Genomic DNA, 27,570 nt, shown 5'->3' with positions numbered 1-27,570 from the left:
AATCGGAACGTGCAGGGGTGGGGAGCTGGCCAATCAGGCGCGGAGGGCGGGGCCGGGCGGGGTTCCACCTGGCGGCTGGCTCTCAGTCCCCTCGCTGTAGTCGCGGAGCTGTGTCTGTTCCCAGGAGTCCTTCGGCGGCTGTTGTGTCGGGAGCCTGATCGCGATGGGGACAAAGGCGCAAGTCGAGAGGAAACTGTTGTGCCTCTTCATATTGGCGATCCTGTTGTGTAAGTTCCCAGAGTTTCGGGAGGAATCGGTTGGTCGGGTCAGAGGTTGGAGGAAGGCTCTCCCCACGCCCCTAGCCCGCGGGAGGGGAGGAGCTCAGAAACCTTCCTATATCGTTCTGCGAATTATCTTTTCCACCCCTGGCTGGTCCCTCTTTCACCACTCTCACAGCTGGGTGAGTGGCTGGCTCCCCTCCCCCACACTGGTGAGTTGTGACCGCACCCCTCACGGCCACCAGGAGGGAGCTGACCCATCTGCACACACCAGAGGTACACTCCTCGTCCTCACTGGAGAGGGCCGTCGGGCCAAGGACCCTTCCACACTCATCTACCCAGCGCGCGCTCCACACGCACCTGGGAAGGGCCAGCCTGCCCCTCCAACGGCCACCCAGCATCCACGAACCCCGCTGCGCAGCCGGGAGCCTTGGCTCCTTTAACGGTCTTCGAAGAAAATCAAATGGAGGTGGTCTGGGGTGGAAGTCTCTTCCCCTAGCTTTTGCTGAAGGAGTCTCTGGCTCTTCTGAATCTTTGAATTGCGGCGGTTGCTCTGGGAAAATGTCTGGGTGCACAGTCTAAAGAGGAAATGCAATAGAAACCTGAAATTTCTCTAAGCGCAGCAGAGGTTCCAGCGAAGTTCCTTTATGGAATAACTACCTCAGGAGTCCTTAATACGTGTTGTTGATTGAGTGACTCTTCCCAGGGGGAGAGTGTATCTGTTGGTTGGCTGGATTCTCATCAGAGCCAGAGCTCTGCCCTCCCTCTGGCTGTGTATGAGAGTTTTTGTTTCCTTTGTAAACTCCCTTTCCTGAGGAACAATGAGGCTCACTTGCTAGGGCATGCCTCTGTCTCTAGATGTGTTTGTGTGGGGCTGAGCGTTTAGTCGGTTGGTTTGTGCGTTAGTCAACCTGTGGCAGTACCTGTGTGTTTATCTGATTCTTGAGTGTGCGTGTCGTTGTGTGAGTAGTTGTGTCAGTATGTGTTCTACATGAGTCTCCCCCCACCCCCAAGGTTCTTGTTTTAGAAAGTGTTAAATGAATGATTACAATCAGTTTGGTGTATGTAGATTCCCTGCCCTTAGATGGATTGACTGCTCATTTCTACCTTATCACAACATAAACCCTTGGGAGAGATTGGACCAGAGGCATATATCATCCTCTTTCTATTTTACTGATAAGGAAACAAGTCCAAAAGGGGAAATGACTTCAATGACAATAGAGTTAGGGGTGGAACCTGGGAATGGAACCAAACCCTCTTGACTTGCTTTTCCTTTTTCCATTCTTTGATCCAGCATCTCAGGCACCCTATAGCACAAGAACTGTTTGGGATACTGCTTCAGAATCTACTGTCTTACTTACCTTTAAACTTACTTTCCCACTAGCTTCTTCATTCATGTCTCCCTCTTTTTTTTTTTTTTTTTTTGAGTTAGAGTTTCGCTTGTTGCCCAGGCTCGAGTGCAATGGTGCCATCTTGGCCCACCGCAACCTCCGCCTTCCGGGTTTAAGCGATTCTCCTGCCTCAGCCTCCCGAGTAGCTGGAATTACAGGCATGCACCATCACGCCCGGCTAATTTTTTGTTTTTAGTAGAGATGGGGTTTCACCATGTTGGTCGGGCTGGTCTTGAATTCCTGCTCTCAGGTGATCCACCCGCCTCGGCCTCCCAACGTGCTGGGATTACAGGTGTGAGCCACCGCGGCTGGCCATGTCTTCCTTTTTTTCTACTCTTTGAGTTCCCTTTTCTTTAATTTCCCTTTTTTCCCTACCCCTTGCCTATTTTACTTCTGCCTGTATTTTAGAACTGCTAGTGACACCCATAGTCAATTTTTGGTTATGTGGTTCTGGTACTAAAGGTTTTTCCAACCTTTGTACTGTGCCAGTATTTTTCCCCTAAGCCCAGAAGTTTCTTCTGTGTGAGTGACTGTATTTGTAACAGTGTTTGTCTGTGACAGTATTTGTCAGGCTTAAAAGCTTCCTGGAGCTGCTTACTCCCTATCCTTTGCCACTGCTTCCTTTCTTTTTTCTCCCTCTAATTTCCTATATTATTTATGATAATCCTAAAATAATCATATACTGGCACTGGAAGGTCATGATAACACCATTTTGAGCTTGGAGGTGTCTTCAGGGAACCAAGCCACAGTAGTGCAGAGGGAACCTGAGATGATGTCGCATTAGCCTGTTAGGACAGTGGGTCCTGGGAAGTGACTTGTCCAGGGGATGGAGGAACTGACCTTGTAACTTTTAAATCAGGCTAGATCTGGGGTTGGGTTGGGGGAGGGGAGTGATTTGGTTAGTGCAAATGAGGATGGAAATGGGAGCTGGGCCACCATACCTGCATTCTAGCTTGGCTTTCTCTCTGCCTTGTTTGTGATCTTAGGCAGTAGCTCAGTCTTTTCATCTGTAAAATAGCAGTAATACTTGTCCCACCTTTGTCAGGAGGATCAACCAGCATAATAGTTACATTACATATACATGAAGGGATTATTTTTGGGCAGCTGTTATCCCCTGTGGATTTTGTGAGGATGGAAGAATGCCAGAATGCTGTCCCTAGCTGAGTAGGTAAAAAAGGAAGCAGGGAGATCCCAAATGGCTAGAGTCAGAAATCAAAAAGCAGGAGCTTTTTCTTGGGTGTCTAGCTTGTCCACTGTCCCTGAGAGGCGTGGATAGGTTGCCCATATGTTCTCCCTGTTCTTCATTGTGGGCTCTGCTGTCAGGGAGGAAGTAGAAAAGGCAAGATAGGACTGACAAGTCAGGCAAAGGCCTGGCCCCAGCTTGGGGAACCTAATGGAGGGGAAACCCTGACCCTGTGGGGCAGAGATCCAGAGGGTAGACACTGGGAGAGCTGGACTTGGGAAAAGTAAAACTGATGACCCAGAGTACTAGCCTCCCTTTCCCTAGGGAACCTGTCCCTTAGAAAAGGTTCAGCTGTCTACCAGGTAGGGAGAGACACAGTAGAGGTGAGTGTGGATAGGTCAACTTACAGTGTAACCACAGGGGAGAGAGGGAAACCTGGGTTGGAATGCTGGCATTTGCTCCCCTGCCCTTCCTTGAGTGTGGTATCATCACTGAAGAGTTCCGCGTGGGCAGGGCAGAACTGCTGCCCTGCTTCTGGGTCATTCTCTGAGTCCCAGTGTTTACTATTGATGTTTCTGACTCAAGCCCTTCTAGCTTTGCCCTTTCAGGGGCAGGCATACCTCAAAACCGTAGACTGGTGTGAAGGTGTGGGTTGCCCCTCCACACCTGTGGGTGTTTCTCGTAAGGTGGAACGAGACTTGGAAAAGAAAAAGACACAGAGACAAACTATAGAGAAAGAAATAAGGAGACCCGGGGAACCAGCGTTCAGCACATGGAGGATCCCGCCAGCCTCTGAGTTCCCTTAGTATTTATTGATCATTCGTGGGTGTTTCTCTGAGAGGGGGATGTGTCAGGGTCACAAGACAATTGTGGGGAGAGGGTCAGTAGACAAACACGTGAACAAAGGTCTTTGCATCATAGACAAGGTAAAGAATCAAGTGCTGTGCTTTTAGATATGCATACACATAAACATCTCAATGCTTTACAAAGCAATATTGCTGCCCGCATGTCCCACCTCCAGCCTTAAGGCGGTTTTTCCCTATCTCAGTAGATGGAACGTACAATGTCTTGGTTTTATACCGAGACATTCCATTGCCCAGGGACGGGCAGGAGACAGATGCCTTTCTCTTGTCTCAACTGCAAGAGGCATGCCTTCCTCTTATACTAATCCTCCTCAGCACAGACCCTTTACAGGTGTTGGGCTGGGGGACAGTCAGGTCTTTCCCTTCCCACGAGGCCATATTTCAGACTATCACATGGGGAGAAACCTTGGACAATACCTGGCTTTCCTAGGCAGAGGTCCCTGCGGCCTTCCGCAGTGTTTTTGTCCCTGGGTACTTGAGATTAGGGAGTGGTGATGACTCTTAAGGAGCATGCTGCCTTCAAGCATTTGTTTAACAAAGCACATCTTGCACAACCCTTAATCCATTTAACCCTGAGTTTGACACAGCACATGTTTCAGAGAGCAAGGGGTTGGGGGTAAGGCCATAGATTAACAGCATCCCAAGGCAGAAGAATTTTTCTTAGTACAGAACAAAATGGAGTCTCCTATGTCTACTTCTTTCTACACAGACACAGTAACAATCTGATCTCTCTTGCTTTTCCCCACACTGGTGAGTCACTCCTCCTTTCCTCTCCCTCTACTCCCAGGAGTGAATTGTTCCCTCCAAACTAGAAACTGGTGACTGGCACTTCCTAGTTCTACCTGGAACTAGGAAACGAGTGGCAGTGGAATTTCAGTGTCCTTTAGTCTTTGCCTTCTGGCTCCAGATCACTTTTTTTTTTTTTGAGACGGAGTCTCATTCTGTTACCCAGGCTGGAATGCAGTAGCATGATCTTGGCTCACTGCAACCTCCACCTCCCGGCTTCAAGCGATTCTCCTGCCTTAGCCTCCCCAGCAGCTGGGACTACAGGCACGCGCCACCACGCCCGGCTAATTTTTTGTATTATTTATTTATTTATTTGTTTTTGAGACAGAGTCTCTCTCTGTCGCCAGGCTGGAGTACAGTGGCACGATCTCGGCTCACTGCAAACTCCACCTCCCGGGTTCATGCCATTCTCCTGCCTCAGCCTCCTGAGTAGCTGGGACTACAGGCGCCCGCCACCATGCCTGGCTAATTTTTTCTATTTTTAGTTGAGACGAGGTTTCACTGTGTTAGCCAGGATGGTCTTGATCTCCTGACCTCATGATCTGCCCGCCACGGCCTCCAAAAGTGCTGGGATTACAGGCGTGAGCCACCGCGCCCGGCCCCTAATTTTTTGTATTTTTAGTAGAGACGGGTTTTCACCATGTTGGCCAGGCTGGTCTCGAACTCCTGACTTCAAGTAATCCTCTTGCCTAGGCTTTCCAAAGTGCTGGGATTACAGGCGTGAACCCCTGCACCTGGCCACTCCAGACCACTTTTACCTCACCATGTTGCTCTTCAGTTCCTTTGTGATCATGTCTTGTGGAGTCTCCAGCCCAGTTCCGATTCAAGATAGAGCTACTGTGATTTTTTTTAAAAAAATTTAATTAGAATAGGTTAATTGACATGGTTTTATAATTAAAATGATATCAAAGGGGTGGGGTATCTCATTCCCATGTTGCTCCTGTTCACCCCAAACCCCAATAGTTTCTAATGTCTCTTCAGTGTTTCATTTTACAGATACAAGTATATATAAATAATACTTGTTTTTTCTCCCCTTTCTGACACAAAAAGAGGCATACTACATATATTCTACATCTTGCTTATATATATATATCATGGAGTTTTGTTGTTGTTGTTGTTGTTTTTGAAACAGGGTCTCACTCTGTTGCCCAGGCTGGAGTACAATGGCATGATCATAGCTCACTGCAGCCTTTTTTTTTTTTTTTGAGACAAAGTCTTGCTGTGTTGCCCAGGGAGGAGTCCAGTGGCGTGATCTTGTCTCACTGCAGACTCTGCCTCCCAGGTTCAAGTGATTCTCCTGCCTCAGCCTCCCGAGTAGCTGGGACACAAGCGTGCACCACCATTCTTGGCTAATTTTTGTGTGTGTGTATATATATATATATATATATTTTTTTTTTTGAGATGGAGTCTGGCTCTGTCACCCAGGCTGGAGTGCACTGGAGCAATCTCGGCTCACTGCAAGCTCCGCCTCGCGGGTTCACGCCATTCTCCTGCCTCAGCCTCCCGAGTAGCTGGGACTACAGGGGCCCGCCACCACTCCGGCTGATTTTTTGTATTTTTTTTAGTAGAGACGGGGTTTCACCGTGTTAGCCAGGATGGTCTCGATCTGCTGACCTCGTGATCTGCCTGCCTCGGCCTCCCAAAATGCTGGGATTACAGGCATGAGCCACTGTGCCCAGCCTTTTGTACATATTTTTTTAATTTAATTTTTTTTTTTTGAGATGGAGTCTTGCTCTGTTACCCAGGCTGGAGTGCAGTGGCGTGATCTCGGCTCACTGCAAGCTCTGCCTCCCGGGTTCACGCCATTCTCCTGCCTCAGCCTCCCAAGTAGCTGGGACTACAGGCACCCGCCACCATTCCCTGCTAATTTTTTTTTTTTTTTGTATTTTTAGTAGAGATGGGATTTCACCATGTTAGCCAGGATGGTCTTGATCTCCTGGCCTTGTGATCTGCCCCCATTGGCCTCCCAAAGTGCTGGGATTACAGGTGTGAGCTGCCCGGCTAATTTTTGTATTTTTAGTAGAGATAGGGTTTCACCATGTTGGCCAAGCTGGTCTTGAATTCCTGACTTCAAGTGATCCGCCTGCCTTGGCCTCCCAAAGTGCTGGGATTACAGGCATGAGCCACCGTGCCTGGCCTCACTGCAGCCTTGACCTCCTGGGTTCAAGCAATCCTCCAGTCTTAGCCTCCTGAATAGCTGAGGCTATAGGCAAGTGTGAGTGGTGAGCCATACCTGGCTAATTTTTTATTTTTTTAGTACAGACAGGGTCTCATCTGTTGTACAGGCTGGTCTTGAATTCTTGGCTTTAAGGGATCCTTTTGCCTTGGCCTTTCAAAATGCTGAATGACAGGTATGAGTCACTACACCTGGCCCATATTGGTTTCTAGGGATTGTGGCCTTGGCTGTTAGGATACATCCCACCCCCCTCCAAGTCAGCTGAGTTCAATTTGCACTTGTTCTGTGGACACATAAATGGGCAACACACGTTTCCACCACACCCAAAAATAGATTTAAATGCCATGCACATTTTATGTGATAATAATGAGACTTGTTTATCACATCTGTTAGGTTTGACTAGAGACCCTGGAGATCTCTAAACTCAAACCAGTTTCTGTTTCAGAGATTCAGGAAAGACCTGGATGACCTTGCGTCCAACATAATTGAGGATGAGGTTTCACTATTGTGTGACGGTTGTGGAAAGCAGTATGAGTGAACACATACTGTGAGAGTGGATACACACTAGGGTTTTCCTGGCATTGAGAACCCAGAGTTCATCTGCCTGGACTCCCTGATAAGCAGGGTTTCTGTCTAAAGTCCGGCTGCGTCATTTGTTTCACAATGTAGGGGCGGAACAGGAGGAAGCAGCTGGCTGGCAGGAAGTGGGTGCTGGGCCCCTGAAGTAAGTCCTGCGCTGGAAGGCTCGACCTTCCCTTGCACTGGGAAGATGGGGTGGCGGGGGAGCTGAGCAGGTAGAACCGGAAATTCTGCAGAGAGGGCGGGAGGGAGCCAGGGAGTGAAAGCGAGCCTGTCTTACCCTGCCATTACCACTTTCTGCCATCCTCAGAGGACCCGAGCCAGCTGATCGACATCACTGAAAGTGCAGCCAAGGATGGCTATTTAGACATAGCCCAGCCTGTTGTTGGCCTCACAGAGCCTTCCTCTTGCTCACACATTTCTAAACTGTTCTACCCCAAACCCCGGAAAGGCCCTTCCCTGTGGAACTTCCCTGGCCCATGGAGCCTCTTGATCTTTACGAGGAGGCCAACCCTTATGGGAGTTACTTCAATCTCTACAGGGTGAGTGGTGGGGAGGAAGGGGAAAACCAGAGTGGAAGCTCTAGGTCCAGGTTCTAATTGTATTGCAGTGTGAAATTCACTTGTTAATCCAACAAACATTGGTGTTTACTATGTTCTGAGCACTGTGCTAGAGATTAGGGGGAAAACATGAAGTTAAACTGGGTATGCTGTAGCTGGTGGGGTGAGGAGGCCCTGACTCATCCTTCCTATTGCAGGGCTCCAGCTCCCTGGCAACTGGGGGGTCTTGTGAGTCTCATATGCCCAGAGGGAAGTTTGGATGAATTCTTAGAGAAAACCAGAGAGAGACTGGTTGACTGTTTTCCCTCCTTTTCCCCCTCCTCCTCTTTCTTCTTTTTTTTTTTTTTCCCTAAATGAACAACAGACACCAGGGCCTACTTGAGTTTAGAGGATGGGAGGAGGGTGAGGATAGAAAAACTACCTTTTGGGTACTTTGCTTATTAGCAGGGTAATGAAATAATCTTTACACCAAACCCCGACGACATGTAATTCATCTATATAACAAACCTGCATATGTACCCCTGAGCCTAAAATTAAAGTTAAAAATAAATAAATCGGCCGGGTGCAGTGGCTTACGCCTATAATCCCAGCACTTTGGGAGGCTGAGGCGGGTGGATCACCTGAGGTCAGGAGTTCAAGACCAGCCTGGCCAACATGGTGAAACCCTGTTTCTACCAAAAATACAAAAATTAGCCGGGCATGGTGGTGGGTGCCTATAATTCTAGCTACTTGGGAGGCTGAGGCAGGAGAATTGCTTGAACCCAGAAGGCAGAGATTCCAGTGAGCTGAGATCATGCCATTGCTTTCCACCCTGGGTGACGAGAGCAAAAACTCTGTCTCAAAATAAATAAATAAATAAATAAATAAATAAATAAATAAAATTAATTAATTCAAACGACACAAAAGCAACTCAAGGAAAATTCTTTTTTTCTTTTATTTTTATAGAGATCAGAGCCTCTCTCTTTTTAAAATTTGTTATATTCTTTTTTATGTTGTATTTCTTCTTTTATGTTTTGTTATTGATATCCCTGAGGCATAGAGATGGGATCTTTCTATGTTGCCCAGGCTGGTCTTGAACTCCTGGGCTCAAGTGATTCTCCCATCTTGGCCTTCCAAAATGCTGCGATTATAAGCCTAAGCTGCTGCACTGCACCTGGCCAGAAAATTCTAATAATTAACAGGATATCTAGAAAAAACTAAAGGTTTCTTAGCAAAGTAGTAGAAGGAAGTAGGTCCTTTTCTGTTATGGGTCTGACCTGACCCTTCACGTACAAGGGATGGTTGTTGGTGGGTTCTGTTAAGAGTCTGGAGGCCTCTGCCTTCTGTGACCATCTTCTCACCCCAGCAGTGCTTTGGTGCAGTTCATCGAGCACCTCCTCTGTGCAAAGTGTAGTGCTGGGAGCTGGGGAAGGATACAAGCAGAACTCAAGAAACTGCAGACACGTATTGACTAGGTAGAGTACAGAGCAGCGTGTGCCAGGGGCTGTCAACAAAGTACAAAATGTTTTAGGAGCATAGACGAGAAGAGAGTAACTTTTTAAAGATATAAGCTTTTTGTTTTATTAAAAAAAGTGATACATGCTCCATGTAGAAAAATAGGAAAATGCAAAGGACTATGGAGAAAATAAAATCACATGTAATTCTATTATCTAGAGATAAACACTTATTACTGGTGTTTCATTCTAGTCTTTATGAATTAATGTGTGAGATACGTCTATATTTCCTACAAAATATACTTTTTTTTTTTTTTTGAGGTGGAATCTCGCTCTGTCACCCAGGTTGGAGTGCAGTGGCACAATCTCAGCTCACTGCAACCTCCACTTCCTGGGCTCCAGCAATTCTCTGCCTCAGCCTCCCAAGTAGCTGGGATTACAGGTGCCCACCACTACGCCTGGCTAATTTTTTTGTATTTTTAGTAGAGATGGGGTTTCACCATCTTGGCCAGGCTGGTCCTGAACTCCTGACCACCTGTCTCGGCCTCTCAGTGTTGAGATTACAGGTGTGAGCCACCGCGCCTGGCCCAAAATATACTTTAAGGTCCTTTCTACATTATTCCTAAAGTATGGCTATATCATAATTTACTTATTCACCTTTTGTTGGGCATTTAGATTTCTTTTTTTTCTTTGTTATACTAAATAACATTAAATTGGCTGGGCATGGTGGTTCATGCCTGTAATCCCAGCACTTTGGGAGGCTGGGGCGGACGGATCACTTGAGGCCAGGAGTTTGAGACCAGCCTGGCCAATGTGGTGAAACCCCGTGTCTATCAAAAGTACAAAAATTAGCTGGGTATGGTGGTGTGTGCCTGTAATCCCAGCTACTGGAGAGGCTGAGGCAGGAGAATCTCTTGAACCTGGGAGGTGGAAGTTGCCATGAGCCACAATCGCGCCACTGCACTCCAGCCTGGGCGACAGAGCAAGACTCAGTTTCCAAAAAAAACGAACAATGAAACCTAAATAACGTTAAATTGTTCTTGTACATGAATTTTTTTTTTTTTTTTTTTTTTTAAGATGGAGTCCCACTCTATCGCCCAGACTGGAGTGCAGTGGCGTAATCTCAGCTCACTGCAACCTCCACCTCCCAGGTTCAAGCCTCAGCCTACCAAGTAGCTGGGATTCAGGTGCCTGCCACCACGCCCAGCTAATTTTTATATTTTTGGTACAGATGGGGTTTCACCATTTTGGTCAGGTTGGTCTCAAACTCCTGGCCTCAAGTGATCCGTCCGCCTCAGCCTCCCGAAGTGCTGGGATTACAGGCGTGAGCCACTGCACCCAGCCAAAATATTTAAACTTATCTTTGATTGCTTTCTTAGGCTATATTCCTAGAAATTGGGGTGAGATTAATTTTGACTGAGGAAAGGTATAAGAGATCAATAGACATTTGAACAGGATCTTGAAAGATACATGGGATTTCCTTGCTTGTCCAATAAAGCTACATATAGCATAATAGTTTTAGAGCCTCAAAATCAGGCAGAGTTAAGATTCCTACCTTGCTATTTGTAGCCATATGGTTTGGATCAACTGTTTTTTTTTTTTTTTTGATGGAGTCTCGCTCTGTCACCCAGGCTGGAGTGCAGTGGCTTAATCTCAGCTCAATGCAACCTCCCCCTCTCGGCTTCAAGCAATTCTCCTGCCTTAGCCTCCTGAGTCGCTGGGATTACAGGCGCCTGCCACCATGCCCAGCTAATTTTTGTATTTTTAGTAGAGACGGGGTTTCACCACGTTGGCCAGGCTAGTCTCGAACTCCTGACCTTGTGATCCGCTTGCTTCGGACTCTCAAAGTTCTGGGATTACACGTGTGAGCCACTATGCCTGGCCTGGGTCAACTGTTCTAAGCCTCAGTTTTTTCATCTGTAAAATGAAATGGTAACGGTAGTACTTCAATCTTCAATGGTACTTGTCTCATAGGTTTTTTTTTTTTTTAAGAGTTTAGTGAGAAAATGCATATAAGGCCTAACATTAATAATATGCCACTTCTACCATTATGCCATTGTCAATCATAAGACCCTCCCAGATTCATGGGGAGGAAACTTTTTTTTTGAGACAGAGTCTTGCTCTGTCATCCAGACTAAGTACAGTGGCACCATATCAGCTCACTGCAGCCTCCACCTCCTGGGCTCAAGTGGTTCTCCAGCCTCCCAAGTAGCTGGGACTACAGGTATGCACCATGCCTGGCTAATTTTTGTAATTTTTATCATGTTGGCCCGGCTGGTCTTAAACTTCTGACCTCAAGCAATCCACCCACATCGGCCTCCCAAAGTGCTGGGATTATAGGCGTGAGCCACCGCACCCGGCCCATGGGGAGGAAACTTAACTTAGACTCCACCTCAGTCACAATGTAAGTAGAGCATGGGGGAGGAGATAAATATATAGATAGATGTGGCTGTTTTGGAAAATACTATTTGCCACAGTTGTTTCATTATTATTATTCAGGTACGTAGTAATTTCCAGGAATTACATCCTCAGTGTTATAGGCGTTCATGGGCGTGCATGACTGCAGCTGATTAATTTTTTTTTTTTTTTGGTACAGATGGGGGTCTCACTGTGTTGCCCAGGCTGAGAAAACATTTATTGAATGTCAACTTGTACCAGTTTTATTATGCTAAGTGTGGGATACTCAGAATATTAAATAACACATGGTCCCTTTTCACTTGGGGTTTACCATGGGAGACATGCTTGTACACAGATGATGTCATTATAATGTGGGAATTGCTTTGACAGTGTTTTGCATGGGATAATTAAAGCCTAGGAAAGAGGCTTAGGTGAGGCTATGGTGAGGACTGGGCATGTGGGAGGTCGTTTTCCAGAAAATAATGTGGATGAATACTGCTGCCCAGATAAAGAGGGGGAAAAGGGTGTTCTACATAGCAGAAATAGCATGAGCAAAGGCAGAGATTGTGAAACAGCCCAGACTTTGCTAGGAATTTTAAGTAGTTTTGTATTGCTAGAGGGTAAATTGCAACAGTAGAGTGGGTGATGAAGATGATAACCTTATCAAGGGGTCAGATAGTGCTGGAACTTTCTTCCAGCACTTCCTGGTGGGAGAGAGGGAGGTGGGCGTTTGGCAGAGTATAGGGATTATTGGAACTTTCTTAGCTTGCAGAAAAATTTGGATTTTATCATATAAGCAATGTAGAATCATCAAAAGCTTAAAGGAGGTATCAGATTTGCATTTTTAGGAAGGCTGTATAGTATAGTGTAGCATTGTATAGCCTCTGCAGTTGGACTGCATTGGTGTGAATCTGCACTACCACTCACTGTGTGGCCTTAGCCAAGTTACTTAACTACTCTGGGCCTCAGTTTCCCCATGTAAATATGGGTGATAACGATAGAATCACCCAACTCTAAAGGCTGTTGCAGGGATTAAATGATATTACATATAATATGCTTACAACAGTGCCTCAAATATAGTATGTGCTCAATAAATGCTAGCACTTCATCCAGTAGTGGAATGGAGAATGGACTTTCTTTTTTTTTTTTGAGACGGGGTCTCGCTCTGTCACCCAGGCTGAAGTGCAGTGGTGCCATCTCAGCTTACTGCAAGCTCCACCTCCCGGGTTCACGCCATTCTACTGCTTCAGCCTCCGGAGTAGCTGGGACTAGGGACTACAGGTGCCTGCGACCACGCCCGGCTAATTTTTTGTATTTTTAGTAGAGATGGGGTTTCACCGTGTTAGCCAAGATGGTCTTGATCTCCTGATCTCGAGATCCGCCTGCCTCAGCCTCCCAAAGTGCTGGGATTACAGGCGTGAGTCACCGTGCCTGGCTGGAGAATGGACTTTCTATACATGGGCCCAAAACCTAAGCAGGCCAAAATCTATTGATGCCTTTAACTTTGTGGCTTTTCTTGTTGTGAACTTAGAGAAAATTAAACTTGACAATGGAAAGGATGGAATTTCCTTCTATTATTCGTTTACCACGTACATCAGTAGGACATTTGCATGTGTGTGTACAGTATGGTATGTATGGGCCCAAGGTTAAGTGCAAAAGGGGGGCTGTGAAGAGGCACGGGAAAATATGAAATAGATGAGGAGGATGGACAGGGAAACTGTGAGTGTCCTGATGTAGATTGGATTCAGTGAGAGCAAGTTCCTAGCTCTGCTGGTACAGCTGTGAAGGTTCTAGAGAAGGGGCCGCCTTCCCAAGGCAGCTGCAATGACAGGGGAGATATGGTTTGGTAGGCTGGAGTAGGCACTTTTCAGGCTTTATTTATATGTCTTGTTGAAGAAAACATTGAAGTCAGAAAGAAGTATGTGTACAGAAGGGCCTATGAACAGATGATGATAATCATAAAATATAATACTTATTTGGGGTTTCCTGTTCAGACACTGCTCTAAGCACTTTATTTGTACAGTATTAGCTTGTTTAGCCTTCAGAACAGCCCTTTGATGTAGAAACTGTTATTATCCCCATTTTACAGATGCGTAAACTCAGATTTGAGGAGGCCAAGTGGCTTGTCCAGGTCACATAGCCTAGTAAGTAACAGAGCTGGGATTTTTTTTTTTTTTTCTTTTCTGAGACAGAGTTTCTCCCTTGTTGGCCAGGCTGGAGTGCAATGGCACGATCTTGGCTCACTGCAACCTCTGCCTCCCAGGTTCAAGCAATTCTCCTGCCTCAGCCTCCTGAGTAGCTGGGATTACAGGCATGCACCACCACGCCTGGTTAATTTTGTATTTTTAGTAGAGACGAGGTTTCTCCATGTTGGTCAAGCTGGTCTCGAACTCCCCACCTCAGGTGATCTGCCCGCCTTGGCCTCCCAAAGTGCTGGGATTACAGGCATGAGCCACTGCGCCCAGCATTTTTTTTTTTTTTTTGAGACGGAGTTTCTTGTTGCCCAGGCTGGAGTGCAATGGCACGATCTCAGCTCACTGCAACCTCTGCTTCCCAGGTTCAAGCGATTCTCCTGCCTCAGCCTCCCAAGTAGCTGGGATTGCAGGCATGTGCCACCACACCCGGCTAATTTTTATATATATATTTTTTAGTAGAGACGGATTTTTGCCACGTTGGCCAGACTGGTCTCGAACTCCTGATCTCAGGTGATCCACCTGCTTCGCCTCCTAAAGTGCTGGGATTACAGGCATGAGCCACCGCACCCAGCCTAGAGCTGGGATTTGAACGCAGGCAGTCTGGTTCCAGGGGCCTGTTCAAGAATGAGAAGGGGAATGTGGACCAGGATGGCTGAGGTGTCCTGTGGTGAATGGGAAGGACATGGTGATAAGGCTGGCCTTGACTCATGATGTGATAGGCAATCACAATACACCTTGGGAGTATTGGCACAGTCAGGTCACAGGCAGACGTAGTTAATCCTGCAACAGAGGTGGGTGGGAGGACACTAAGGCGGAGGTTCGTGTATTTGAAACAAAATAACAGAAGCCCAGACCAGGTGATGGCAGTGCGGATTAATGAAGAAAAGGGTAATATGCCTGTAGCCCAACGTGTTTGTATATGTGTGGTGTGAATGTGATGATCTGAGAGGACTCAACAAAGAACTTTAGCTAAACCAGAAGTGGTGGAGGAACAACCATCAAATTCACATGTTGTGATTTGTGTGTATATGTGTGTTTATTTCAAAGGCTAGTTTTTAGTCTAATTAGATGCTGCTGTTCATTTGGGTGGTGCCATAGGTTGGGTTCTTGGGAAGCTGACTCTGAGATGTCAATAATCATACAAGACATTTATTAGGGAGTGCACTTGGGATCCACGCCCGTGGAAAGGAGGGGAAGGAAGCAAAGTTGGACAGAGGGAGAGGCCAAGTTTGCGTTATAGTCTTGGTGAGGCCTCAGCCTATCCCACAGACAGCTTTGGAACACTTTGGAACAGAAGTGCCCCCCCCCTTTTTTTTTTGAGATGGAGTCTCACTGTGTTACCCAGGCTGGAGTGCAGTGGTGCGATCTTGGCTCACGGCAACCTTCGCCTCCCGGGTTCAAGTGATTGTCCTGCCTCAGCCTCCCAAGTAGTTGGGATTACCGTTGCCCGCCACCATGCCCGGCTAATTTTTGTATTTTAGTAGAGATGGGGTTTCGCCATATTGGCCAGGCTGGTTTCAAACTCCTGACCTCAGGTGACCTGCCCGCCTCAGCCTCCCAAAGTGCTGGGATTACAGGCTGTTGAGCTGCCATGCCCAGCCTATTAGCATTCTTAATGAGAGTTGAGTAAGAGACTTCCACAGCCATGGTGGCTCACGCCTGTAATCCTAGCACTTTGGGAGGCCAAGGCAGGAGAATTGCTTGAGCTCAGGAATTTGAGACCAGCCTGGGTAACATAGTGGGACCTGGTCTCTACAAAAAAATTGTAAAAGTTAGCTGGGCAGGCCAGGTGCGGTAGCTCAGGCCTATAATCCCAGCACTTTGGGAGGCCGAAGCGGGTGGATCACTTGAGGTCAGGAGTTTGAGACCAGCCTGGCCAACATGATGAAACCTTGTTTCTGCTAAAAATACAAAAAATTAGCCAGGCATGGTGGCTCGTGCTTGTAATCCCAGCTACTCAGGAGGCTGAGGCAGGAGAATTGCTGGAACCCGGGAGACAGAGGCCTGTAGTCCCAACTACTTAGGAGGCTGAGGTGGGTCACTTGAGCCCAGCAGGCCAACACTGGGCCCTAAGCAGTAAGCCATAATGGTGCCACTGAACTCTAGCCGGGGCAACAGAGTGAGAAAGGAGGGAGGAGATAGGGGAGGTAGGGGAGGGAGGGGAAGGAGGAAGGAGGGAGGAAGGGAGGAGACTTATGTGTCCTCAGGAAGAATTTTCAATTTAATAAAAGCTATTTGGTTTAATTTCCATATCTATTATTATTATTATTATTATTATTATTATTATTTTATTTTTGAGACAGAGTCTTGCTCTGTCACCCAGGCTGGAGTGCAGTGGCACTATCTAGGCTCACTTCAGCCTCCACCTCCTGGGTTCAGTGATTCTCCTGCCTCAGCCTCCCGAGTAGCTGGGATTACAGGCTAGTGCCACCACCCCTGGCTGGTTTTTGTACTTTTACTAGAGACGAGATTTCGCCACGTTGGCCAAGCTGGTCTCGAACTCCTGCCCTCAAGCAGTCTCCCCACCTCGGCCTCCCAAAGTGCTGGAATTACAGGTGTGAGCTACCGTGCTCAGCCTCCATATCTATTATTACATTTGAGCATAAATTTGACATTAAAAATGTAATGGCAAATATATAAATAAAATAATATCATTAGAAATATTTTTATTAGTTTTTTTTTCATTAAACCTATGGTTTTTCTAAGAAACAGCTCGGTTTTCTTTTCTTATGTTTTTTAGAGACAGGGTCTTGCTCTGTCACCCAGGCACCCAGGCTGGAATGCATTGGTGTGATTGTAGCTCACTGTAACCTCCCACTCTTTGGCTTAAGTAGTCCTTTTGCCTCAGTCTCCCAAGTTACTGGGCTACAGGCATGTGTCACCATGCCTGGTTAATTTTTTTTTTTTTTGAGACGGAGTCTCACTTTGTTGCCCAAGCTGGAATGTAGTGTCACAATCTCAGCTCACTGCAACCTCTGCCTCCCGGGTTCAAGTGATTCTCTTTGCTCAGCCTTCCAGGTAGCACGCGCCACCACGCCTGGCTAATTTTTGTATTTTTAGTAGCGATAAGGTTTCGCCACGTTGGCCAGGCTGGTCTCAAACTCTTGACCTCAAGTGATCTGCCCTCTTTGGCCTCCCAAAGTGCTGGGGTTATAGGTGTGACCTACCGTGCCCAGCCTATACCCTTCTTTTTTGAAAACCATGCTATATGGCCAGGCGTGATGGTTCACATCTGTAATCCCAGCACTTTGGGAGGCCAAGGCAGGAGAACTGCTTGAGACCAGGAGTTCTAGACCAGCCTGGGCAATGTAGCAAGAACCCAGCTCTTTAAAAAAAAGAAATTCCAGCCTGGACAACATGGTGAAACCCTGTCTACTAAAAATACAAAAAATTGCCGGGCGCGGTGGCTCACGCTTGTAATCCCAGCATTTTGGGAGGCCAGGGCGGGTGGATCACCTGAGATCAGGAGTTCGAGACCAGCCTGACCAACATGGAGAAACCCCATCTCTACTAAAAATACAAAATTAGCCGGGCATGGTGGCGCCTGCCTGTAATCCTAGCTACTAGGGAGGCCGAGGCAGGAGAATCTCCTGAACCTGGGAGGCGGAGGTTGTGGTGAGTCTAGATTGCGCCACTGCACTCCAGTCTGGGCAACTAGAACAAAACTCCATCTTAAAAAAATAATAATAATAATACAAAAAACTAGTTAGAACTAGCTAGGCGTAGTGGCGGGCGCCTGTAATCCCAGCTACTCAGGAGGCTGGGGCAGGAGAATCTCTTGAATGTGGGAGGCAGAGGTTGCAGTGAGCCGAGATCACACCACTGCACTCTAGCCAGGGCGACAGAGTGAGACTCTGTCTCAACAAAAAAACAAAAGAAAAAAAAGAAAATTAGGCCGGTCGCCGTGGCTCACGCCTATAATTCCAGCACTTTGGGCGGCTGCAGCGGGCAGATCACTTTAGGTCAGGAGTTTGAGACCAGCCTGGCCAACGTGGTGAAACCCCATCTCTACTAAAAATGCAAAAATTAGGCCAGGTGCAGTGGCTTAATCACGCCTGTAATCCCAGCACTTTGGGAGGCTGAGGCGGGCGGATCACCTGAAGTCGGGAGTTCGAGACCAGCCTGATTAACATGGAGAAACCCTGTCTCTACTAAAAATACAAAATTAGCCGGGCATGGTGGCACATGCCTGTAATCCCAGCTACTTGGGAGGCTGAGGCAGGAGAATCCCTTGAACCCGGAAGGTGGAGGTTGCGGTGAGCCGAGATTGCGCCATTGCACTCCAGCCTGGGCAACAAGAGCGAAACTCTGTCTCAAAAAAAAAAAAAAAAATACAAAAATTAGCCGGCATGGTGGTAAGCGCCTGTAATCCCAGCTGTTTGGAAGGCTGAAGAGAATCACTTGAACCTGGGAGGCAGAGGCTGCAGTGAGCTGAGATAGCGCCATTGCACTCCAGCCTGGGCAACAGGAGTGAAACTCCGTCTCAAAAAAAAAAAAAACAAATAAATAGAGAGTATAATAAGAGAAAAAGGATATAGGAGTAACCTATATCTTTAGTCTCTTATCTATAAAATGGGAGAGAGAATACTTATCTGGACTAATTCATAGTGTTATTATATCAGATTGAAATACAGGTATACAAATATTATCTAAACATTAATGCCAAAATTTAAAAAAAAGAACCTAAAGGACTTTAGAGCACATCTATTTCATATTTCAGAGAGGAAGGGGAGTCTCAGAGGTCAAGAGACCATATTCAGTTATGTGCATAATTAAGTAAAAGAAAAATGTACTTGAATTTAACAGATGTGCTTGACTTCTACAAACATTTATCTAAGACAGGGTCCTGACTTGAAGCTACAAATAAAAGGATATTTCATGAATTTGACTTTGAAAACATGGATGAGAATAATTGTGTAAGTGCAGGTTTGTAGCTGCATCATGTGATCCCAGAATCCCTGGTCACTGGTTCTTAATTTGACCTTTGTGGGTCCCTCCTATGAACCCTGATGCACCTCCCCCATATTATTTAATTAGCCTTGTTGCTTCTCCCTCCCTCCACCCAGCACACACTATCTTTTCTTTTCTTTCTCCATTTGGCAAGTAGAATATTCTAATGAGGTGATCTGAACCCACTTCTAGTGCAAACTTCACCTCAGAACCAGTTGTGTGTTTTTTTTTTTTTTTTTTTTTTGAGATTGAGTCTTGCTCTGTCGCCCAGGCTGGAGGGCAGTGGCGCGATCTCGGCTCACTGCAATCTCCGCCTCCCGGGTTCAAGCGACTCTTCTGCCTCAGCCTCCCAAGTAGCTGGGACTACAGGTGTGCCACCATGCCTGGCTAATTTTTGTATTATTAGTAGAGATGGGGTTTCACCATATTGGCCAGGCTGGTCTTGAACTCCTGACCTCATGACCTCCCCACCTCGGCCTCCCAAAGTGCTGGGTTTACAGGCCTGAGCCACCGCACCTGGCCCCAGCTGTGTGATCTTAGGCACATTTACTTCTTGTACTCTCAGTTCCTCATGTAAACTCGGGATAATAATATACGTCTTGCCGATCTGTCATGCTTGTGTCCAGGATCAAATGATGCAACGTGTCATAATGTACACGAAAACACTTTTAAAAGCACCACATGCTCCACAAATGTCGAGTATTATTATTATCCTCATCATGGCTCTGCCCTTCCCTTCCATCCCTTGCCTCCAGCCCTGCTGGCTTCCTTCCAGGATTGTCCTGACAAGTGGCTGCAATCATTTGTTGAGAAGCTTTCTCTGAACAGTGAAATGTCATTCTGGAAGCTGCCCTTGGACTAGTAGAAATCTAATTAGATTATTGGGAGTCACAGAGAGAAAAATTAGAAGCAAAAGAAACTGCATTCCCATGGATAAAAGAAGTATTAGCTGGCAATTGTAGCAAAAAGCACTTAAAGAAGACATTTAGGATCATGGTGACAAAGTGTGAGAGCCAGAGGGAGCATAAGTCTGGAATCCCTTCCTCTTAGGGTCTGTGAATGGAGAAGCCCTGTCCACTGGGTCTGTGACTCCTTCTTCCTGGCATTTCTCTGTCCACTCCTGACAGGGCCCACCTCTTTCTTTCTCCTTAGGCTCCCTGGCATTGGGCAGTGTTACAGTGCACTCTTCTGAACCTGAAGTCAGAATTCCTGAGAATAATCGTGAGTTGGGAGGGGCCATGGAGGGTGTGAGGGTGAGCAGTTGCCGGCCGCCTGGGGATCTAGAGAGCACCCAGCCCAGCCTGCAGTTTGGGGCTGTTCCCCATCTCGTGTATTTGCTGCTGCTTCTTCCTTCGGCTCATTTTGACCCTGTCTGCAGCTGTGAAGTTGTCCTGTGCCTACTCGGGCTTTTCTTCTCCCCGTGTGGAGTGGAAGTTTGACCAAGGAGACACCACCAGACTCGTTTGCTATAATAACAAGATCACAGGTGAGTTGCTTCTCCTCCTTCCTGATTGCCTAGGTTGTGGAGGGATTATCATGCCTGGATTCTACGATCCAGACTTTGTGCCCTTATCCCAGGGCACACCCTGGGGCTGAAGTCCTCATGGCCTTCCTACCCCCCTTTCTGGGGGAAGAGGAGAGCACTTGCGTACCTTGGATGCCCCCTTCATCAGCCTCCCTTAGCTCTCCAGTTCACTCTGTCCTTGCTCTTGCCTCCTCTTGTGGTAGCTTCCTATGAGGACCGGGTGACCTTCTTGCCAACTGGTATCACCTTCAAGTCCGTGACACGGGAAGACACTGGGACATACACTTGTATGGTCTCTGAGGAAGGCGGCAACAGCTATGGGGAGGTCAAGGTCAAGCTCATCGTGCTTGGTACGTGCCCCATGTCTTCTGGGTGGGCCTGGAGTTAGTTACTTCTCATAGCAGGCTCTGCTGCACTTTGGAGCTCTTTGATGGTGAGAATACCCACAGGTGGGCTATTCAGAGTCCTGGAGCTGCCAGAGAGGGAGATGAGCCCCTGGTTAGGTGGCAGCCAGGGGCATGGTGAGAGTAGGAGGCTTGAGCTGAGTAGTTGGGGGTACCATTGTAGTTGGTTACTTAGACTCAAGCAGCCCCCACCCTGTACTCAGCACCTTCTGTCTTTCTCTTCCACAGTGCCTCCATCCAAGCCTACAGTTAACATCCCCTCCTCTGCCACCATTGGGAACCGGGCAGTGCTGACATGCTCAGAACAAGATGGTTCCCCACCTTCTGAATACACCTGGTTCAAAGATGGGATAGTGATGCCTACGAATCCCAAAAGCACCCGTGCCTTCAGCAACTCTTCCTATGTCCTGAATCCCACAACAGGAGAGCTGGTATGTATGGGGTGGTGGTGAAAGATGTGTGGGGGATGCAGTTATAGAACCCCAAAAGGTGGGAGGAAGAACAGGCAACAGGGTGAACTTGGAACTGGGGTCAAGAGACATTAAAAAATGTCTATTTTGCTTCTTCAGCAGGAAGCCAATTTGTTTTCCTTCCTCAGGTCTTTGATCCCCTGTCAGCCTCTGATACTGGAGAATACAGCTGTGAGGCACGGAATGGGTATGGGACACCCATGACTTCAAATGCTGTGCGCATGGAAGCTGGTGAGAGTTAGGGCTTGAGCCCAGACCTGGGGTGGGGATTGGGGTCTGCTTTTCATCCTGCCATTGGTGATACTGTAGGTGCCGTGAGTGAGTATCCCCGTGCCTGACTTCTTATTTGTGTCTCGCAGTGGAGCGGAATGTGGGGGTCATCGTGGCAGCCGTCCTTGTAACCCTGATTCTCCTGGGAATCTTGGTTTTTGGCATCTGGTTTGCCTATAGCCGAGGCCACTTTGACAGTAAGTATCTGCCCCCAGAGGCTCTCCTTTGTACTGCCCCCATCCCAGGGCCTGGCATGGGTGTCATCTGAGTACTGACCCTGATACTGTGCTCATGTGTGTGGGTGTTGTCCCCTGGGGAACACTGATCACCCATCTAACACCAAGAGCTGGGGGCCTGCCCCTCCATCTTCCCAAGCCATGCTGTCTTCTGTCCTGCTGACACTCATGATCCCATTTCTTCTCTTTCAGGAACAAAGAAAGGGTGAGTGAGGTGCTGTCCTGGGGTTCTCCAAGTTTGAGAGCATGGATGCATGTGGTTTGAAGCTGAAGTGGGCCTAGGGGAATGGGTTGAAGGCAGAAGCAACCAGTTTGGAGGGAAGGCATTTGGATATCCAGCCCTTTCTCTGTGGCCTTGGCCCTGGGTCTGTCCTGTTACCCCACCCATACCTGTCTGCTGCGCACTCTGTGCTTCTGTAGCATTCTCGCTTCTGGCCTTTAAAGTTGGCAAGGGGAGGTTAATAAGCACCTAGGTGGCTGAGTGTCTCTGTCTTCTGGCTTGTTCACAGGACTTCGAGTAAGAAGGTGATTTACAGCCAGCCTAGTGCCCGAAGTGAAGTGAGTATGCCTCCCCTGGGCAGGGGTGGGCCACCTGGGGCTGGAGTGAGGAGATTTCTAGCCCATGTTTATGTGTTTTGGGGATTATCAGCTAAAGAAGACTATTGAGAGTTGACTGGATGTTTTATTTCTGCAGGGAGAATTCAAACAGACCTCGTCATTCCTGGTGTGAGCCTGGTCGGCTCACCGCCTATCATCTGCATTTGCCTTACTCAGGTGCTACCGGACTCTGGCCCCTGATGTCTGTAGTTTCACAGGATGCCTTATTTGTCTTCTACACCCCACAGGGCCCCCTACTTCTTCGGATGTGTTTTTAATAATGTCAGCTATGTGCCCCATCCTCCTTCATGCCCTCCCTCCCTTTCCTACCACTGCTGAGTGGCCTGGAACTTGTTTAAAGTGTTTATTCCCCATTTCTTTGAGGGATCAGGAAGGAATCCTGGGTATGCCATTGACTTCCCTTCTAAGTAGACAGCAAAAATGGCGGGGGTCGCAGGAATCTGCACTCAACTGCCCACCTGGCTGGCAGGGATCTTTGAATAGGTATCTTGAGCTTGGTTCTGGGCTCTTTCCTTGTGTACTGACGACCAGGGCCAGCTGTTCTAGAGCGGGAATTAGAGGCTAGAGCGGCTGAAATGGTTGTTTGGTGATGACACTGGGGTCCTTCCATCTCTGGGGCCCACTCTCTTCTGTCTTCCCATGGGAAGTGCCACTGGGATCCCTCTGCCCTGTCCTCCTGAATACAAGCTGACTGACATTGACTGTGTCTGTGGAAAATGGGAGCTCTTGTTGTGGAGAGCATAGTAAATTTTCAGAGAACTTGAAGCCAAAAGGATTTAAAACCGCTGCTCTAAAGAAAAGAAAACTGGAGGCTGGGCGCAGTGGCTCACGCCTATAATCCCAGAGGCTGAGGCAGGCGGATCACCTGAGGTCAGGAGTTCAAGATCAGCCTGACCAACATGGAGAAACCCTACTAAAAATACAAAGTTAGCCAGGCATAGTGGTGCATGCCTGTAATCCCAGCTGCTCAGGAGCCTGGCAACAAGAGCAAAACTCCAGCTCAAAAAAAAAAAGAAAGAAAAGAAAGCTGGAGCTGGTGGCTTAGGCCATCACCCTTCCCTTGGCTGGAACTACTGGACAGACCCTTTTGAGATGTGCCTGTGGTGCTGTGGAGATGTGTGTAGTGGTCTTAGCTCTTTGTTGAGCTTGTGTGTGTGTTGTGTAGTCTTAGCTGTATGCTGAAATTGGGCGTGTGTTGGAGGGCTTCTTAGCTCTTTGGTGAGATTGTATTTCTATGTGTTTGTATCAGCTGAATGTTGCTGGAAATAAAACCTTGGTTTGTCAAGGCTCTTTTTTGTGGGAAGTAAGTAGGGGAAAAGGTCTTTGAGGGTTCCTAGGCTCCTTTGTACAACAGGAAAATGCCTCAAAGCCTTGCTTCCCAGCAACCTGGGGCTGGTTCCCAGTGCCTGGTCCTGCCCCTTCCTGGTTCTTATCTCAAGGCAGAGCTTCTGAATTTCAGGCCTTCATTCCAGAGCCCTCTTGTGGCCAGGCCTTCCTTTGCTGGAGGAAGGTACACAGGGTGAAGCTGATGCTGTACTTGGGGGATCTCCTTGGCCTGTTCCACCAAGTGAGAGAAGGTACTTACTCTTGTACCTCCTGTTCAGCCAGGTGCATTAACAGACCTCCCTACAGCTGTAGGAACTACTGTCCCAGAGCTGAGGCAAGGGGATTTCTCAGGTCATTTGGAGAACAAGTGCTTTAGTAGTAGTTTAAAGTAGTAACTGCTACTGTATTTAGTGGGGTGGAATTCAGAAGAAATTTGAAGACCAGATCATGGGTGGTCTGCATGTGAATGAACAGGAATGAGCCGGACAGCCTGGCTGTCATTGCTTTCTTCCTCCCCATTTGGACCCTTCTCTGCCCTTACATTTTTGTTTCTCCATCTACCACCATCCACCAGTCTATTTATTAACTTAGCAAGAGGACAAGTAAAGGGCCCTCTTGGCTTGATTTTGCTTCTTTCTTTCTGTGGAGGATATACTAAGTGCGACTTTGCCCTATCCTATTTGGAAATCCCTAACAGAATTGAGTTTTCTATTAAGGATCCAAAAAGAAAAACAAAATGCTAATGAAGCCATCAGTCAAGGGTCACATGCCAATAAACAATAAATTTTCCAGAAGAAATGAAATCCAACTAGACAAATAAAGTAGAGCTTATGAAATGGTTCAGTAAAGATGAGTTTGTTGTTTTTTGTTTTGTTTTGTTTTGTTTTTTTAAAGACGGAGTCTCGCTCTGTCACCCAGGCTGGAGTGCAGTGGTATGATCTTGGCTCACTGTAACCTCCGCCTCCCGGGTTCAAGCCATTCTCCTGCCTCAGTCTCCTGAGTAGCTGGGATTACGGGTGCGTGCCACCATGCCTGGCTAATTTTTGTGTTTTTAGTAGAGACAGGGTTTCACCATGTTGGTCGGGCTGGTCTCAAACTCCTGACCTCTTGATCCGCCTGCCTTGGCCTCCCAAAGTGATGGGATTACAGATGTGAGCCACCGTGCCTAGCCAAGGATGAGATTTTTAAAGTATGTTTCAGTTCTGTGTCATGGTTGGAAGACAGAGTAGGAAGGATATGGAAAAGGTCATGGGGAAGCAGAGGTGATTCATGGCTCTGTGAATTTGAGGTGAATGGTTCCTTATTGTCTAGGCCACTTGTGAAGAATATGAGTCAGTTATTGCCAGCCTTGGAATTTACTTCTCTAGCTTACAATGGACCTTTTGAACTGGAAAACACCTTGTCTGCATTCACTTTAAAATGTCAAAACTAATTTTTATAATAAATGTTTATTTTCACATTGAGTTTGTTTAAATCCTGAAGTTCTTACCTTAAGAGAATTGGGACTCCTAGAGTGATTGGACATTCAAAATATTCCTGATAGTCTTGTTAATTAAGAGATTAGGATATCTTTCCATTACCTTGATAATTACGTTTTAATTTAGCTTTTTTCATTGGCCTGTGTTTAAATGCAAATAACCCCACAATGGACATTTCCTATGTTAAAGTGACATTTAGGGGATAAAAAATGAGAGCAGTTCCATGGATTTTGGTGTTTCCCCTGAGACATGAACTCAGCATAATCTGGGATAAAATGATTGAGTGTTAAGGATGTGTTTGTTGTTCCTGTCGTTTTTTTATTTTCTTCAAAGTATACAACATGGTTTGATATGCACATACATTTGTGTAATGATTGCCATGGTCAATTAACACATCACCATTTTTGTGTGTGTGTGTGTGTGTGTGTGTGAGGGAGTCTTGCTCCGTTGCCAGGCTGGAGTGCAATGGTACAACCTTGGCTCACTGCAACCTCCACCTCCTGGGTTCAAGCAATTCTCTTGCCTCAGCCTCCTAAGTAGCTGGGACTATAGGCGTGTGCCACCATGCCCAGCTAATTTTTGTATTTTTAGTAGAGACGGGGTTTCACCATGTTGGCCAGGATGATCTCGATCCCTTGACCTCATGATCCGCCCACCTCGGCCTCCCAAAGTGCTGGGATTACAGGCGTGAGTCACTGCACCCGGCCACATCACCTCCCATGTTCTATCTTACGTATTCAGAACTTGTTCATCTTGTAACTGAAAGCGTGTACCCTTTGACCAACACTGTTTTTCCTGTCTTAACAGGATCTACAGATCAAGGACAGGGGAGGGGATAGTGGAGGAAAACGGAGTTAGTCTGTTTCTAAATGAGGGGACAGTATGTTTCTTGGGGCCTGAGGACAGCTTAATAAAGTAGACAAATGAAGAAAAACAACAATTTGCATTAAAAAATATCCAATTCTTTAGCTTTTCCAGCTTATTACCCCTTCTCTGGTACTAGCTATGAAAATCTGATATGAAACGGAACATTTTTTCTTTTCTTTTCTTTCTTTTTTTTTTTTTTTGAGACTGAGTCTTACTCTATCACCCAGGCTGGAGTGCAGTGGAGCGATCTCAGCTCACTGCAACTTCTCCCTCTGAGTTCAAGCGATTCTCCTGCCTCAGCCTCCCGAGCAGCTGGGATTACAGGCGCCTGCCACTGCACCCGGATAATTTTTTTTTTAATAGTTTTAGTGGAGACAGGGTTTCACCAGCTTGGCCAGGCTGGTTTTAAACTCCTGATCTCGTGATCCACCCACCTTGGCCTCCCAAAGTGCTGGGATTACAGGTGTGAGCCACCGTGCCTAGCCCATTTTTTCTTACTACTATCATCCATTAACTTATTTACTGGGTACTATTACTATCTCTGTTTCTCAGATGGGGAAGAGAGGCAGAGAAATGCTAAGGAATTTGCCCAAGTTCACACAACCAGTACTAGGCAAATGGTAGGTCCGGGATTAAGATCCTGGGGAGGGGAGGTTGGGTAACCTATATCCTGCTCAGTGACCCAGAATGGAAAAGAATGAAGGAGGAGGAGTGGAAACAGAAGTTAACTTTTTTTTTGTAGAGGTGGGTATCTGGGTTTGAGGAGAGAGAACATTAAAAGTAATGCTGGGGCCGGGCGCGGTGGCTCATACCTATAATCCCAGCACTTTGGGAGTCTGAGGCAGGCAGATCACTTGAGGTCAGGAGTTCAAGACCAGCCTGGCCAACATGGTGAAACCCTGTCTCTATGAAAAATACAAAAATTGCCAGTTGTGGTGGCTCACGCTTGTAATCCCAGCACTTTGGGAGGCCGAGGGGGGCGGATCACCTGAGGTTGGGAGTTCAAGACCAGCCTGACCAACATGGAGAAACCCTGTCTCTACTAAAAATACAAAAATTAGCCGGGCATGGTGGTGCATGCCTATAATCCCAGCTACTCAGGAGGCTGAGGCGGGAGAATCGCTTGAACCCGGGAGGCAGAGGTTGCGTGAGCCGAGATCACGCCATTGCACTCCAGCCTGGGCAACAAGAGCAAAACTCCATCTCAAAAAACAAAAAAACAAAAAACCAAAAATTAGCTGGGTGGGGTGGTGGTGTGTGCCTGTAACTGCAGCTACACGAGAGGCTGAGGCACGAGAATTGCTTGAACCTGAGAGGCAGACATCACAGTGAGCCGAGACGGCGCCACTGCACTCTCGCCTGGGTGACAGTGAGACTGAGTCTCAAAAAAAAAAAAAAAAAAAAAAAGTGATGATGTTTGACCTACGGTTTCCCCTGAAGTGTGACAAAATCTCACTTGAGTCTGCTATCCCAACAGACAGACTCTGGACAGAGTGAGGCATATTAAGTATGAGGCTCTTTATGAAATGGAGGGCCTATGAGTGCCACCTTCTGGAGTAAAGGATAAAACTTAATGCAATTTTGCCAGTGACCGGGATGAAAAACAGAAGGCATGCATATCATATTTGTGGACGGCAAGGAGTTA

General features: G+C 47.2%; 1 protein-coding gene across 6 annotated transcripts, besides 9 other annotated features; it reads left to right on the top strand.

Annotated features, from left to right (window-relative positions):
• On the top strand, window positions 85–26,026 carry F11R (F11 receptor). Of its 6 annotated transcripts, none has more exons than NM_001382733.1 (10): window positions 85–227; window positions 19,884–19,952; window positions 20,110–20,217; window positions 20,460–20,606; window positions 20,889–21,091; window positions 21,259–21,361; window positions 21,520–21,597; window positions 21,829–21,841; window positions 22,146–22,194; window positions 22,331–26,026. In NM_001382733.1, the coding sequence occupies exons 1-10, from the start codon at window positions 164–166 to the stop codon at window positions 22,364–22,366; spliced, it is 870 nt and encodes a 289-aa protein (NP_001369662.1). In that variant the 5' UTR covers window positions 85–163; the 3' UTR covers window positions 22,367–26,026. The 6 variants fall into 6 exon arrangements, with proteins under 6 accessions (NP_001369662.1, NP_001369659.1, NP_058642.1 ...); NM_001382730.1 differs by having other exon boundaries at window positions 21,490–21,597; window positions 22,346–26,026; NM_016946.6 differs by having other exon boundaries at window positions 21,490–21,597.
• Window positions 105–354: an enhancer, noted in NCBI's record as "active region_1969". NCBI's record gives its function as "activates an Ori minimal core promoter by ATAC-STARR-seq in GM12878 lymphoblastoid cells {active_cell/tissue: GM12878}" and the evidence as "EXISTENCE:reporter gene assay evidence [ECO:0000049][PMID:35858748]".
• Window positions 655–704: an enhancer, noted in NCBI's record as "active region_1968". NCBI's record gives its function as "activates an Ori minimal core promoter by ATAC-STARR-seq in GM12878 lymphoblastoid cells {active_cell/tissue: GM12878}" and the evidence as "EXISTENCE:reporter gene assay evidence [ECO:0000049][PMID:35858748]".
• Window positions 715–844: an enhancer, noted in NCBI's record as "active region_1967". NCBI's record gives its function as "activates an Ori minimal core promoter by ATAC-STARR-seq in GM12878 lymphoblastoid cells {active_cell/tissue: GM12878}" and the evidence as "EXISTENCE:reporter gene assay evidence [ECO:0000049][PMID:35858748]".
• Window positions 4,735–5,332: an enhancer, noted in NCBI's record as "H3K27ac-H3K4me1 hESC enhancer chr1:160985695-160986292 (GRCh37/hg19 assembly coordinates)". NCBI's record gives its function as "activates a minimal SCP1, AML or CMV promoter by ChIP-STARR-seq in naive H9 embryonic stem cells {active_cell/tissue: H9 hESC(naive)}" and the evidence as "EXISTENCE:reporter gene assay evidence [ECO:0000049][PMID:30033119]".
• Window positions 6,974–7,193: an enhancer, noted in NCBI's record as "active region_1966". NCBI's record gives its function as "activates an Ori minimal core promoter by ATAC-STARR-seq in GM12878 lymphoblastoid cells {active_cell/tissue: GM12878}" and the evidence as "EXISTENCE:reporter gene assay evidence [ECO:0000049][PMID:35858748]".
• Window positions 7,604–7,753: an enhancer, noted in NCBI's record as "active region_1965". NCBI's record gives its function as "activates an Ori minimal core promoter by ATAC-STARR-seq in GM12878 lymphoblastoid cells {active_cell/tissue: GM12878}" and the evidence as "EXISTENCE:reporter gene assay evidence [ECO:0000049][PMID:35858748]".
• Window positions 13,718–14,226: an enhancer, noted in NCBI's record as "H3K4me1 hESC enhancer chr1:160976801-160977309 (GRCh37/hg19 assembly coordinates)". NCBI's record gives its function as "activates a minimal SCP1, AML or CMV promoter by ChIP-STARR-seq in primed H9 embryonic stem cells {active_cell/tissue: H9 hESC(primed)}" and the evidence as "EXISTENCE:reporter gene assay evidence [ECO:0000049][PMID:30033119]".
• Window positions 14,227–14,736: an enhancer, noted in NCBI's record as "H3K4me1 hESC enhancer chr1:160976291-160976800 (GRCh37/hg19 assembly coordinates)". NCBI's record gives its function as "activates a minimal SCP1, AML or CMV promoter by ChIP-STARR-seq in primed H9 embryonic stem cells {active_cell/tissue: H9 hESC(primed)}" and the evidence as "EXISTENCE:reporter gene assay evidence [ECO:0000049][PMID:30033119]".
• Window positions 14,737–15,246: an enhancer, noted in NCBI's record as "H3K4me1 hESC enhancer chr1:160975781-160976290 (GRCh37/hg19 assembly coordinates)". NCBI's record gives its function as "activates a minimal SCP1, AML or CMV promoter by ChIP-STARR-seq in primed H9 embryonic stem cells {active_cell/tissue: H9 hESC(primed)}" and the evidence as "EXISTENCE:reporter gene assay evidence [ECO:0000049][PMID:30033119]".
• Window positions 26,027–27,570: the final 1,544 nt, after the last annotated feature.

This window comes from Homo sapiens, chromosome 1 (assembly GCF_000001405.40).
Source record: "Homo sapiens chromosome 1, GRCh38.p14 Primary Assembly".
Taxonomy (NCBI): domain Eukaryota; kingdom Metazoa; phylum Chordata; class Mammalia; order Primates; family Hominidae; genus Homo; species Homo sapiens.
The sequence above is the reverse complement of the archived record's forward strand: the minus strand, read 5'-3'. Positions and strand labels throughout refer to the sequence as shown.